Source organism: Homo sapiens, chromosome 2 (genome assembly GCF_000001405.40).
Source record: "Homo sapiens chromosome 2, GRCh38.p14 Primary Assembly".
NCBI classification, from domain to species: domain Eukaryota; kingdom Metazoa; phylum Chordata; class Mammalia; order Primates; family Hominidae; genus Homo; species Homo sapiens.
The window spans coordinates 242,103,311-242,117,867 of NC_000002.12; the positions used below are offsets into that span (position 1 = coordinate 242,103,311).

At 39.6% G+C, this 14,557-nt stretch overlaps 1 long non-coding RNA gene across 4 annotated transcripts in view; it reads left to right on the forward strand.

The window, feature by feature from the left end:
• LINC01881 (long intergenic non-protein coding RNA 1881) overlaps positions 1-14,557 on the forward strand; it is a 71,871-nt gene that overhangs the window by 14,678 nt on the left and 42,636 nt on the right. For 2 of the 4 annotated variants that reach the window (NR_130699.1, NR_130702.1), the window contains exon 3: positions 11,329-11,431. The exons of 1 other annotated variant lie outside the window; for it this stretch is intronic. This is a non-coding gene — a long non-coding RNA (long intergenic non-protein coding RNA 1881). Of the gene's footprint in view, positions 1-11,328; positions 11,432-12,872; positions 12,923-14,557 lie in introns of all 4 variants that reach the window. One more of the 4 variants, NR_130701.1, reaches the window with a different exon arrangement.

Below are 14,557 nucleotides of genomic sequence, written 5' to 3' on the forward strand. Positions count from 1 at the left end.
GGCCACAGTACCATTTGGGGCAAGCAGCTGACCAGCTAGAGATATAACAGTATGTTCTGGGGAATGAGACTGCCACAGTGGGCCTAGGTGATTTGGAAGGCTGTGCACCTTCTTCATAAGGTACCAGCACAGGCCTACATCAGTAGCTAAGATGAAAGAACAATCACGAAGCATCCCAGTGCTGGCAAGGACAGTGCCAAGTGCTGGCAGGAATATGCTCTCCAATCCTGCTACTGGGAATGCAGAATGGCACAGCCACTCTGGAAAACAGTGTGGCAGCTTCTTACTGTGTTACACTGCCTTAGGACCTGGCAGTCTCACTTCTAGGTGTTTACCCAAGGTAAGTGAAAATTCATGCTCACACAAAACCTGCATGTGACTGTTAATAGAGTTTTATTCAGTAATTGCCAACACTCAAAATCAGATATCCTTCAACTGGTGAATGAATAAACAAATTGTGGTAACATCTCTACAGCAGAATACCACTCAAAAGTCAAAAGGAACAAACTATTAATTCCCACAACATGGATGAATCTTAAATTCGTTTTGTTTAGTGAAAGAAACCAAACCTAAAAGGCCTCCATACTGTATGATTCTATTTAAAGGATGCTCTAGAAAAAGCACAACCATAAGGAAGAAGAACAAATCAGTGGTTGCCAGGGGTTAAGAGTTGGGGAAAAGGAGTTGATTACAAAGAGAGCGAGAGGCAGTTTGGGGAGTGATGGGACTGTGTTAGATTTGACTGTGCACCTGTCAAAACCCATGGAACTGTGCACCACAAAATTTCACTAAAATCAACAAAGATGTTTGTGTGTGTGTTACTGGGGGGAGTGCCCAAGTGATACAAACTGTGACAGATGAATCAAATGGTATTACAAACTTATCCCATAATCCAGGGGTCCCCAACCCCTAGGCCACGGATCGGTACCTGTCCGTAGCCTGTTAGGACCTGGGCCACAGAGCAGGAGGTGAGCAGAGGGCAGGCAAGCATTACTGCCTGAGCTCTGCCTCCTGTCAGGTCAGCAGCAGCATTAGATTCTCATAGGAGCATGAACCCTATTGTGAACTGTGCATGTGAATGATCTAGGTTGCTCACTCACTCCTTTTGAGACTCTAACTATGATGTTAGTGTGATGATCTGAGGTGGCACAGTTTCATCCTGAAACCATCCCCCCTCCTCGCCCCAGTCTGTGGAAAAACTGTCTTCTAAGAAATTGGTCCTTGGTGCCAAAACGGTTAGGGAATGCTGCCATAACCATAGTGAAATGGATGTGGAATTAGCTGACCTATCAGTAACTTTGGAAAACAGTGTTTTGACAGGATGCTGTAAGGCTAAAGATAAAACCTCTGGTTAGTGCACTTGTTTCTCATAGGGGCATGGGTTAGCAATCTCAAAACTGTACGTATTCTAGGAAGAAGTTACAAATAAGGAAGGATGGTGCTAGAGTTATCCTGTGGTTCTGGATCAGGGTTGGAGGTGTCAGCATGAACTAGGGCTGTTGGTTTTTTCAGAGAGAGAGAAATGTGGGTCTATGCATGTGTGAGTTAGTGTAACACATCTGTTTTCTAAGTCTGTCGACAGAGGGCCTTAGAGCAGTGACACCTGCATCAGTGACCAGAGCCAGCCTGAGATGGTGGATCCTAAGGGCTCCTCAGGGAAGGGGTTGGTTCCAGGGCTGGGGTAGGGCAAATGAAAGGTGAGTGATGGCAGCCTGTCAGATATCAGAAGGGTAGATGTCCGTCAAAAAGTGCTGCATTGGCCAAAGCTGGAGCAGTTCGAGCCACAGGATAGACAACAGTAGTAATGGATTACAACCTAAAAAAGAAAAGAAATAGCCATCCATTTAGGCTGATATCAATACATAAATGAATGCATAAGTGAGGGATAAGGAACAGTTCTTCCTTGTAAAATTCCAGTTAATAAATGTAGAAGGAATAAGGGAAATAGAAAATCACCATGATAATTGTTATAAGCACAGTCCCTTGACAGATGCAGCAAGGTGAAATCTAACAGGTGAAAGAATTAGGAGAAATAGAATTATCTGCCAAGTCTCCCCCCAAATAGCTATTCATTACAAAGGGAACAATACTTTACAGTGGAGAAACCTGGCAGACACAGCCCCAACCAAGAACTCAAAGGTGGCATCATATTGGCAGCAGGTACCTGTGATGTGGTGCTGTGTGAGTGGCACATCATCTGTGGTGGTTTTCCCTAAGCTGAATCAGGAGAAAACAGCAGACAAACCCAATTTGAAGGACATTCTACAAAATAATTGACCAGTACTCTTCAAGGTGATGAGAGGAGACTACAAACTCTTCTGGCATGGGGGGCCATGGAAGTGTGTCAGCTAAGTACAGTGTGGATCCTGGACTGGGCCCAGCAGCAGACAGGCTCTGGTGGGTGGCCTGGCAAAACAGCAAAGCCTGTGGTTGAGCTGGGAGTACCATGCCAGAGTTCCTCTTCTGGTGTTGATCCTTGTTCTATGGCTGCATGAAGGTGGGTGGAAACTTGGGGACACCGTGTGTCCTGCCTCTGAAACTCTTGTGCAAGTCTAAAATCATCTTTAAAAGTCTTCTTAAGTCATCATTAAGAAAATTAATAGGCAAGCCAGAGACATCACGTAGTCTGACTGTGCTGTCAGTCATGTCTGGGGCCTGCGTCAGCACAGGACTCATGATGGTGGCTTACCTCTTAGCTCCCAAGGAGAGGCAGAGTGGTGAGCCTCCCTGGTGATTGACTTAATAGCTATATGGAGCTTTCTATGGTGTCTTGATTGGGTATGTGTTACAGGAGGTACACAGGTCAGGACTCCCTGAACTGTACTTAAAAGTCTATTCTGCTGTATATGAATTATGCCTCAGGAGAGAGAAGAGAACTTATGCTCCATTTGGAATTTATCTTGGAGCATGACGTGAGGAACAAATCTGTTTGTGTCTTTGTGCAGTAGCTGTCCAGTTACTGCAGCAGCACTACTAACTGAAAAGCCCCTTTCCTGCTGTGTTGAGATATCTCTTTTTCCCATACTAAATTTCCATGGGCAATTGGGGCTACAGGGTTTTCTCTCTGTCTTCATGGACTTCCCTCATCACACTGATGTAAATAGAGAGGCTTAATACTGTGTTTTCATGTCAGCTGGGGCTAGAGTCTTCACCATTGTGGTTCTTACTCAGAGTTGTCTGGTTATTTGTGCTTACTGGTTCTTCTTCTCCTTTTATTTTAGATACAGAAGGTCCATGTACAGATTTGTTACATGAAAATATTGCATGAGGCTGGGGTTTGGAGTACAGATCCTGTCACCTAGTTAGTATAGTACCCAATAGGTAGTTGTTTTTAACCCACCCCCACTCCCTCTACCTTCTAGTAGTCCCCAGTGTCTGTTGTTCCCATATTTGTGTCCATGTGTGCTCAATGTTTAGCTCCCATTTATAAGTGAGAACATGTGGTATTTGGTTTTCTGTTCCTGCATTAATTTGCTTAGAATTAAGTCAAGCTCCATCCATGTTGCTGCAAAGGGTGTGATTTTATTCCTTTTTTATGGCTGTGTAGTATTTCATGATGTATAGGTGCCACATTTTCTTTATCCAGTCTACCATTGATGGGCACCTGGGTTGATTCTGTGTCTTTACTATTGTTAATAGCGCAGCAATGAACATGTGAGTGCCTGTGTCTTTTTGGTAGAATGATTTATTTTCTTTTGGATGTATACCCAGTAATGGGGTTGCTGGATAGAATGGTAGTTCTATTTCAAGTTCTTTGAGAAATCTGTAGACCACTTCCCACAATGGCTGGACTGATTTACATTCCTGTCAACAGTGTATAAGCATTCTGTTTTCTCCTCAGCCTTGCCAGCATCTGTTGTCTTTGACTTTTTAGTAATGGCCATTCTGACTAGTGTCAGATGGTGTCTCATTGTGGTTTTGATGCATTTCTCTAATGCTGTGTGGTACTGAGCCTTTTTCATGTTTGTTGGCCACTTATATATCTTCTTTGAGAAGTGCCTGTTCATGTCCTTTGCCCATTTTTTTTTTTTTTGAGACGGAGTCTCACTCTGACGCCCAGGCTGGAGTGCAGTGGCGCAATTTCCGCTCACTCCTTTGCCCATTTGTTAATGGGGTCGTTTGTTTTTTTGCATAAGTTCCCTGTAGATTCTGGATATTAGGCCTTTGTCAGATGCATAGTTTGCAAATAGTTTCTCTCATTCCGTAGGTTGTCTGTATTCTCTGTCAATAGTTTCTCTTGCTGTGCAGAAGCTCTTTCATTTAGTTAAGTTCTACTTGCCAATTTTTGTTTTTGTTGCAATTGTTTTTGGGAACTTAGCCAAAAATTCTTTGCCAAGGCCAACGTCAAGAAGAGTATTTCCTAGGTTATCTTCCAGGATCTTACAGTTTGAGGTCTTACATTGAAATCTTTAATATATTTTGAGTTAATTTTTGTATATGGTGAAAGGTAGGGGTCTGGCTTCAGTCTTCTGTATGTGGCTAGCTAGTTATTCCAACACCATATATTGAATAGGATGGTCTTTTTCCACTGCTGCTTTTGCTGGCCTTGTCAAAGATTGGATGGTTGTAGGTGTGTGGCTTTATTTCTGAGTTTTCTGTTCTGTTCATTGGTCTGTGAGTCTGTTTTTGTACCAGTACAGAAGCTGTTTTGGTTACTGGGGCTGTATAGTATAGTTTGAAGTTGAGTAGTGTGATGCCTCTGGCTTTGTTCTTTTTGCTTAGGATTGCTTTGGCTATTTGGGCTCTCTTTTCATTCCATATGAATTTTAGGATAGTTTCTTCTTGTTCTTAAATGCATTTTATAATTAACTTGTTTAGCTCTAAGAAAAAAACTTGATTTTGTATTGGAATAGCATTAAATTTAATATTTTTTAAAAATGTTTCATCTACTTCTAACTTACTGCAAAGAGTTTTATAAAGTTGCCTGTAATGATTTTTTAATGTTTTTCTTCATTTTTATAAAGGAAACATCCTTGTAACCACACCCAGGTCAAGGAATAGAACTTTATCAATCATCCCAGAAGCGCCCACCACATGTCCCATTTCTATTATAACCTACTTCCTCTCCTCAAAAATAACCACTTCCCAAACTCTTAATGGTAATCATTTCCCTAATCTTTATAGTTTTATCACCAAGTGTATATCCCTAGACACTATAGTTTAGTGTTGTTTTATTCTTAAAATTTGATATGTTTTTAAAGTCTCTTTTAATCTACACATTTTTCTCTCTATCCCTTTCTTTTCCTTATCTTTTACAATGTTTAAGTTTTCTTCTGTTAGCACTTGTAACTTTCTTATTTTTTTTTTTTCTAATCAGATACCTAGTGGTTTGTTTTGGTTGATTATTTTCTCTTGAGAGCCAGCTTTTGGATTTACTTCTTAGTTCTATTCTTTTTCTACTTAATAATATCTGCTTTTATTTGTAATAATTCACCCCTTTCTTTTGGTTCACTTATTCTTTTTCTGGCTTTTTCAGTTATATGTTTAAATAATTTATTTTTATTATTTAAATTTGTGTTGATATAGGTATTTAATGCTATAAAGTTTCCTGTGACAGTTACTTTTTTTCTGAGTCCTATAAATTCTCTATATATTTTCCCAGCCTTTTATAGCTGTATATCTTATATGCAGTATGGTGTTTGATTTTGCTTTGTGAGCCAATCCAAGACTGTTTTCCATTTAATAGGTGAGCCAAGTCCATTTTTTACATCACAGATAACAGGGAACCACCTTGTTCTATTTTATTTGCTTTTACCCTTTTGGTATTTAAGAGGGCTTTCTTCCTCCCTTTTTTTTCCCACTTTTATCCTAATGCCTTTATAGCAAACACTTAGTTTCTTTGGTTGGCTCCCCATAGTACCTGATACTGCAGTTAGCTGATGGACACCCCAGTCCCAGTTGGCTCCTGCACATCTTCTGCCCGCCCCTACCACTTCTCTGGTGGTTGTTCTTTGTCTGCATTGTCCAAGCTGGTAACCATGGCATGCTGCACTTTTATCACCGTCATGTGCCAGCAGCTCCACAGATAAATACAGACCACCTGCAGCTCACCTTTGCATCTGCCTCTAGTCATTTTGGTTTCTGGAGCTTATTCTTTAGTGGGTCATCCCTCAGCTCCTGGTCACTGTACTTCCTGTGTTTGTGTGTACTCATAAAAAATATGTGTGACTTTTACCCTTGATAGTCACTATTTAGATGTTAAATCTTTGGCTTATATTTTTTCCCTTAAATATCTTAAATATGTTACTGAACCTATTCTATTCTGGACCTGTAATCCCTACTACAAAGCTACTCACAAGTCCAGTTTTCATCATTTCTGGACATGCATTCTTAAGGGGGAGGAATTTATAGAACTGGAAGCCATGTTAATATCCTAGTCATGAGGTGGCTGAGATTTAGTCTGTCCAGGTAAGATGGTGCAGGTAGGGAGTGTGGTGGTCCAAGTGGCACACGCAGGAAGTCACAGAATGTGGGAGGCATTGTTTTGTGTACCCTGTGCACAGAGTGTCTGATGCCCTTTGATAGGTTTGCGGCCTCATCTGGTGGACTTTCTGGCACAGCCCTTCCTCGAGGTTGCTGCATCTGAAGCTCTTTAAGACGGCGTTTCCCTTCTGCCAGATTGCACTCTGTGCACAGTGCGGTTGCTTCTCCCTGCGGAATGAGATGGGCCCACATAGGCAGTGGCTCCACCTGGCCTTGGTGCTCTTGCCGCCCTCTGCTCTGCTGCTCCCTTCGTGTAAGAAGGGTGTGTTAAGAGTCCGTAAGTGTGTCGTGTTAGATGTTTAGGAAGGAAATGTTAATTCTGAAAATAGGTTTCACATCTTTTTTTTAACTTATATAAAATTGACTGGACTTTCTCTTCTGTGTGTTGTGTTAGATATTTAGGAAGGAAATGTTAATTCTGAAAATAGGTTTCACATCTTTTTTTTAACTTATATAAAATTGACTGGACTTTCTCTTCTGGATTATCTTCTTATAATTAGAGACTAATAACACACTGATACGAAGTAGCTTTATATCAGGAAAATGGATAAATGTAAACATTTGCCTACCAGGAGAAAATAATACGACCTGATTGGAAAATGTACAGATAAAAAGCTAAGTTTAGTAGGTAGCCATTGATGAACACAGTCTAACTTAAGACAACAATTGGGGATTGTTAGAGCAGAGATTGTAGCTCCCTTCTGGGGAGGAGCTGACCAAAATGTCCTCCAGCTCCTGCTTGACAGAAGAGGTGCAGCCAAATTGATCCAAAGGAAATGTCAGAGGAGGCCAGGGTGGGAATTATCAGCAACTGTGTTTGAGGATTTGTTCCACTTTGTTTTGGTTTTGGTGAAATTATCACAGTCTGCATGTTATATGACCTTGGCACTTAGAGTCATGGCAACTTGTTGCATTTATGCGAGATTTTTTCTCCCTAAAGTCTCTTCTGTTTGATAGCATATATGTACCTTTCATAATCAATATCAAACTGAAGTAGCTTGAAAAGATAGATAATTTTATTCATTTTCTGGGATTCCATAACCACAAACTCGGTGGCTTAAAACCACAGAAATGTATGTCCTCACAATTCTGGAGGCCAGAAATCCAAAATCAAGGGCTCGGCAGGGTTGCTTCCTACTGGCAACTCAGGGAAGTTGAGTTTATGAGTATGTATTATTTTTTATTATGTGTAGTGTAGTACTTTAATAATTATTAAAAATTAAATCATTCACAAATGTTGGTCATTTTTCTTACTGGTAACAAAAGTTTTGTGACATATCTTACAGCAATATAGTTAAGAACTGATGCCCTTGATTAGCAATTTTAAAAACCGGAGGCTTATCCTAGCCTGTCTTATTTTCCTAGACTTGTGTGGAAATGATTTGAAGATGATGGCCCATAACAGCACATTTCTGTAAAGCCTGTGCTTAGAACCCTAGAGTGGTCTGGGAGATGAAGATTAAGACCTTGTTATCCATCTCTTAAGGAAAATACCATCAGAGGAAAATGCAAATCTTATTATAGGTCATCACTAGAATGAGGATTGTAATTTATAGAAATTGGGGTTTAATTATGAGAAATAGTTCCGTTCTTGGCTCTCGTTTACTTCTATTTGGAGATGTTTTGTTGATTCTTCTCTATTCTCTTCTCTTCCTTTTCTTGAATGGAAAGGAACTTGGAAAACTCATGCCCTGTCCTTGGGCTTGTCAGAGGAAACTTGGAATGTCATTGCCTTTTGGGCACATTTGCAAGCAAGGGGGTGACATATGCTGTGGTGCAGCCTGGGTGTGGGGAGTTAAGGGCTGTTAGCTCCATCATTCAGACATGTTTTAAGTTTATGGAAACTCTGTGTTTTATACAAGTGCATTTGTGCCCTGTGTTTTCCGCTTGTGTTGTATAATGTTCTGTTCTTTGTTTTTAACACTTCCCGCCCCCACCCCATCCCTCCGACATGCACCTCAGACAGCATGAACAAGACAAGCTGCTACTTCCTCTCCTCTCTTGCACCCTGTTTATCTTTAATTGCAGCAAAATACACATAACATAAAATTGCCATCCTAACCATTTTTAAATGTACAGTTCAGTGGTGTTAAGTACATTCACATTATTGTGCAACCATTACCACCATCCATCTCTAGAACTTTTACATCTTCCCACACTGAAACTCTGTCCCCATTAAACGCTAACTTTTCATTCTCCAGCACCCCCAGACCTGGTAACTGGCTTTCTATTTTCTGTCTGTATGATTTGACTTTTCTGAGTACCTCATATAAGTCAAATCAGACAGTATGTGTCCTTTTGTGACTGTCTTATCTCAGCGTAACGTCCTCAAGTTTCAGCCCTATTGTAGCATGTGTCAGCATTTCCTTTTTCAGACTGAATAATGTTCCATATTGTGTATAGTGTACACCACATTTTGCTTATCTATTCATCCACTGATGGACATGTGGGTTGCTTCCATGTTTATCTGTTGCAAGTAATACTGCTATGAACGTGGGTATACAAGTATCTTTCATTCTCTGCTTTCAGTTCTTTTGAATATATACCCAGAAGTGGAATTGCTGGATCATATGGTAATTCTGTGTTTAATTTTTTGAAGAACCTCCATACTGTTTCCTATAGTAGCTATATCATCCTCCATTTCCACCAACATTGCATGAAGGATCCAGTTTCCCCACATCCATGTCAACACTTGTTAAACTTTTTTTTTTTAATTTGCCAGTAGCCTCATAATGAGCGTGAGGTAGTATCTCATTGTAGTGTTAATTTGCATTTACCTAACAATTCGTGATGTGGAGCATCTTTTCATGCGCTTATTGGCTGCTGTGTCTCTTCTTTGGAGAAGTGTCTGTTGAAGTTGTTTGACATTTTTTAATCAAGTTGTTGGGCAGGTTCCCTTGTTTTTAAGTCAGAGTAGGTGATGTTTGTCTTGAAGGTTATAAAAAGAGAACATGTTTGCTATGACATGTAGTTGATTGCTATGAAATGTAGTTGACACATGCAGAATAGAAAGATTTATAAATTAAATACTCCTTTATTAACATTTTAATGTGTCAAATTTAAATTTCAGAAGCATTCATCTTTCTTCTCTACTTGTACATTTTTATTTACCTGACAGTGTAAAACCCACAACCAAAAAATAATGGCTTTTTCCCCATTTAAAATACTTTGTAAAAATAGTAGCCTAGTTGTCATTTGTGAGCCCAGGCTTGGTCCTCAAGTCTGACATAGACTCCCCAAGGCCCTAACGCTGAAGTTCTCTGAGCCCTACCACTGCCCAGGCAGGCCCAGGAAGTGTCCCAGCAGTGCCCAAGAAGGTCACCATCACCTGTGGAATCCACAGTGTGGGTAGCCCCCAGGGAGCCACAGCCATGTAGACCCAGATTCACAGGAGGATGCGGTTACTGCAAGCATCTGAACCTGGCCCCACCACCTATGGGCAGAGTTGGTTCCAGCTCAGTGTGTCCATGGGATGTCTTTAGGTTCACCTTGCTTTTCTGTCCCACGCTCATATGTTGGAGCTAAGCTGCATGGAGTGTCGTTCTCCCTGTACATATGAGATTAGTCAGCAATCCTGTCTCCTTCCATATTCTGTCTTTATTTCTGCGACACTATTTCTGGAGAACATCGTATTTGTGCTTTTCCTTTGATATGTTTGTAATTTTCGTTAGAAAAGCCCTTTTAGATTCTAAAGCTTCTACATTCAGTATTTCAATCAATGATAACAAACTGGTGTAAGACTAAATATAAAATACAAACATCAACACATTTCCATAAATTGCTGTTATAATGTCTGCCACAAAAAGTTCAGTTGTTTGTATGTTTTTCAAATGTGCTTTGCTTGTCTTGATGATTTACAACTGTTGGCACTGCTGTTTAAGTCTGTTCTGACAGTGAGAAAGTGACTCATTTGGCAAAGTCAGCTGTTTTTTACTAAAAGTGAATAGTGGTGAGTGGAAAGGGGCTTGTGTACAATTTTCTTGTCAAAGAACGATGACCGGCAAATAAGCAATTTTAGTTCCTTGGATTTGAGCACCACTCTCGCATGCCTCCACCAACCAGCTTGTCTCCACAGAGCTTCCTTCCTCACTTTACACTGAAAATCTGTTATCAGTGTGTGGAAAATAAAAATTTTACACATCTTTAGTTTTGAGGATGTGGATTACTATTTACAGGTGTTTTTTTTTTTCTGTAAGGAAGACATTTTTTTAAAAAGTAAAAGGTGTTCCCATTGTTTAGTTATTGCCTTATGATTTGATTTTCTTGTTTCACAAAGAACAGCTTTTAATTAAACGTATTTAAATAGTAAAAATATACATGTCACTTCACCTGGTTCCAGTTAAATGTGTTAACAGTGTATGTGGTTGGTGCTTAATAAAAACATGTTCAGTGCAGTAATAATTAACTTCAGTTAAACCCTTAAAACATATAGGGAGTAAACAGAAATGTTGAGTGGTTACTCAGCATGGGGTAAGGGATACATCAAGTCATTGGTCAGTATTGGGTATCATCATGTTCTTACCATCTTTTTTCTGGAGTTTTAATAGTTGTTTTTTAAAAAATCTCTGTTTTAATAAGCCATTTTGATGTTTGAAACTACCTTGGATAAGCATATCAAGACCCTTCAGAGATTCTAAAACATGTTCAGCACTTTCTGGTACAATATTCTCAAAGAACCAGGATACATCTTATTTCTCAAAATGAAACAAAAATGTATTAGACATTACCCCTGTGATTTCAAGCCCACAGTCTGTCACTTTGAAGTATTTGTATCCTTTTACAAAAGAAAAGCCAAATGAAGATCTCCCTGAAAAAATATTTTAATAGAATATGTCTTTATTTCAGTATCTTAAATAGCGAAGATGGAGAAATACTCAATAATGAAGAGCATGAATATGCATCCAAAAAAAGAAAAAGGACCATTTTAGAAATGACACAAATACTCAAAGTAAGATCATTCTCATTAATTTTATTTTACTTGTTGATTATGTTGAAATACTAAATTACTCTGACAGTGCTATCTTATGAAATAAAAGGTGATACAAATATGTAAATAACAGCCCAGTATCCAGCATTGCCTACATATTTAGTGATCAAACTTTTTGCAGCCCAACGTTTCAGTGGGTAAGATGTGCAAAAACAAAATAAGAGATAGCAAAACCCACAAAACAGCCCATGAATCTGAATGCTTGAATTATGGTCATGAATTCAGCTCAATCTTGAGCAGTGAGGCCAAACTGAGAGGTGTCCTGACTTGAGTTTCGAAGTCATTGAAGATTCACAGCAGGAGACAGACATTCAGAGCTGGAGTTTAGGATGTTAGATGGCAGCAGGGGAAGGCTGGAGGTGGGACCTATCTGTGAGAGGGCATAGAGTTCTATCATGCAGCATATCTGTGAGTTACCAAGACACCTGTTAATGTATAGTAGGCTCCCTTACCTCGGGATAGACCTCCAGTGGATGCCTGAAACTGTGGATACTACCAAACCTTATGGATACTATGTTTTTTTTTCTGTATATACACACTTATAATAAAGTTTAATTTATAAATTAGGTGCAGTAAGAGATTAACGAGAATAATAATAAAATGAAACAGTTATAGCAAGATGGCCACCATCACTGCTCTTGCACTTTGGGGCTATTATGAAGTACAGTAAGGGTTCTTTAAACACAAGCACTGTGATATCTCAACAGGTGATCCGATAACCAAGACGGCTACTGAGTGACCAAGGGGCGGGTAGTGTAGGACTCGCTTGACAAAGGGAGGATTTGCATCCCAGGCAGGACAGAGCCGGACGGTGTGAGATTTCATGACACCACCCAGAATGGCACACAATTTAAAGCTTATGAATGGTTTATTTCTGGAATTTTCCACTTAATGTTTTCAAACCAAAGCTGACTGTGGGTAATTGAAACTGTAGAAGATGAAACTGTGAATACGGGGGGACTACTTTATGAAGAAGATAGGGTCACATGGAGAATACAGTTAGTGTGATTCTTGAAACTTTTAAGATTTATCTGAAAAATTTGTTTCTATGGAGTACTATACACAGCAACAGAAGAATAGAACTTTTTATTAGGGTACATAGGAATGTAGTAATGTAATTGCATTTTATAATCATTTATGTCTTCATATGGCTTCAGTCATTAATAATACTAATTTTCTTCTAAGTTACTAGGACTTGGTACTGTCTGAAATCATTGTTCATATCTTAAACTGATTTAAGAAACAAAGCAATTCTGTTTGCATTCAACCAAGTAAAAGCATTTCTTGTCAATATAGTAAGTCAGATAATTTTGTTAACATGTCCAATTATTTAAATTCCTTTAAAATCTTCATTTTGAAATGATTTGCCAGATTTTAAAAACAAAGGTAATTTTTATTCTAGGTTTTTATCATGAAAAATGGATCTATGTCCATAAAGAAAGCACAAAAGAAGTAAGTATTCTATTATAAATAAGAGAGTATCTTGGATTGTTTCTGTTGAATATGGAGTCACATTAAATAAATGTATTAATAAAGTTGCATAAAACACATTTCTTTTGCAATGTCAGATCTATGGTTCACATTCTGACAGATAATAGCATATGAGGAGCTTTTGAGGCAGTGATTCGCCACTGTGTGTGCTTGCATGTGCATGTGGTATGTGGCTGTGTATTTGTGCACACATTGGTGTGTGTTGTGTGTATGGTGTATGTGTGTTGTATGTATGGTGTGTATGTATGGTTGTGCATGTATTTGTGCACACATTGGTCTGTGGGATGTATGGTGTGTGGTGGCATGTGGTATATGTGTGCAGTGTGTGGTTCCTGCCTACCTGTACATATCTGAGTCAACAGCAGGGCTATTTAAACCAAGCATGGACTCCTGCGGTCATACGCATTTTCTCTGTGTTAGCATGAACCCCTGATGCTGATGGGAATGTGTCCTCCCTGTGGCATGTTTTGGAGGGCAGGGCATCTGTGAGCCCTCTAATTCCACATAAAGAGTGGCTAACATGAAATTAGTAATTGGGTTGGGTTTGTGCAGAGCCATGTGAACTCTTTCCCTGCCTTTCTTTTGCCAAGTTGGGCTAAAGCTTTTTCATGAGCCATAAAACAAACCAGAGAGCTTCAAGCTGTTTCCTGTTTCTTTACTAGGATCCGGGAAGTTGAGTTCCTTTTATAGTCCTAGAAACTCTGCATTTGCTTTATTTTGCAACAATTGGGGAAAATAATTTAGGGAATTACTGTCTATCGTATGTTATTTCAGGGTAAGTTAAATATTCCAGAAATGTTTGTAGATGCTCTGAAACTAGTCCAGCTTCCAAGAAACTGAAGGATTAGATTCTGAGAAAGAAAACTTAATCTGTTTGTTTATGGTTAGTGGGTATAGAATGAATCAGATCCTTAATATACACTCGAATACACCATTAGACGATTATTTGACAGAATCTAACCTAGTTTGTAAAAAACAAAATTTAGTGCTCATGAAAGACCATTAAATATTTCATCTGCTCTGTTGCCATACTGATTACAGAACAGAGGATCCCATCCAAGCTAGCATATACAGGAAAGGAGGATCTTATTGTGAGGCTGTGGGGATGTTCCCTGGAATCCTAGGAACCAGGACCTAACAAGGCTGAGAGGGACCAGAACTAGGACTGGGTGCTGGTGTCCCTGCACCACGTCATGTCTCCACACCCTCACCTGGTATAGAGCAAGTGCCTGCTGCTTGTCCATGCTGGCTGGTGTCTCACTGCTTCCGAGGTTACATGCTGTGGTTCTAGGTCCAGACATGCTCTTTGTGGTCTGCTCTGTGAATCAGATTTAATTTCCTTTTGTGAGATGGGTGGTGACCTTGGAAAGTGTCTGCTACACCATCGTGTGGAATATCAGCTGTGATGGATTTCAGATTATAATCTATATCAAAATGAGTGTTTCCTTTCCCCAGAGTTCCCAGGAAAATGTTTTCCACATAGCAGGCACTCAGTCAACATATTTGGATGTTTTAAATGAGTATATTTAGTTGAGTTGTGCACCCGTCAGGGCGATTGGGGTTGGCGCACAGAAGCACATGAGCCTCTGAGTGTAT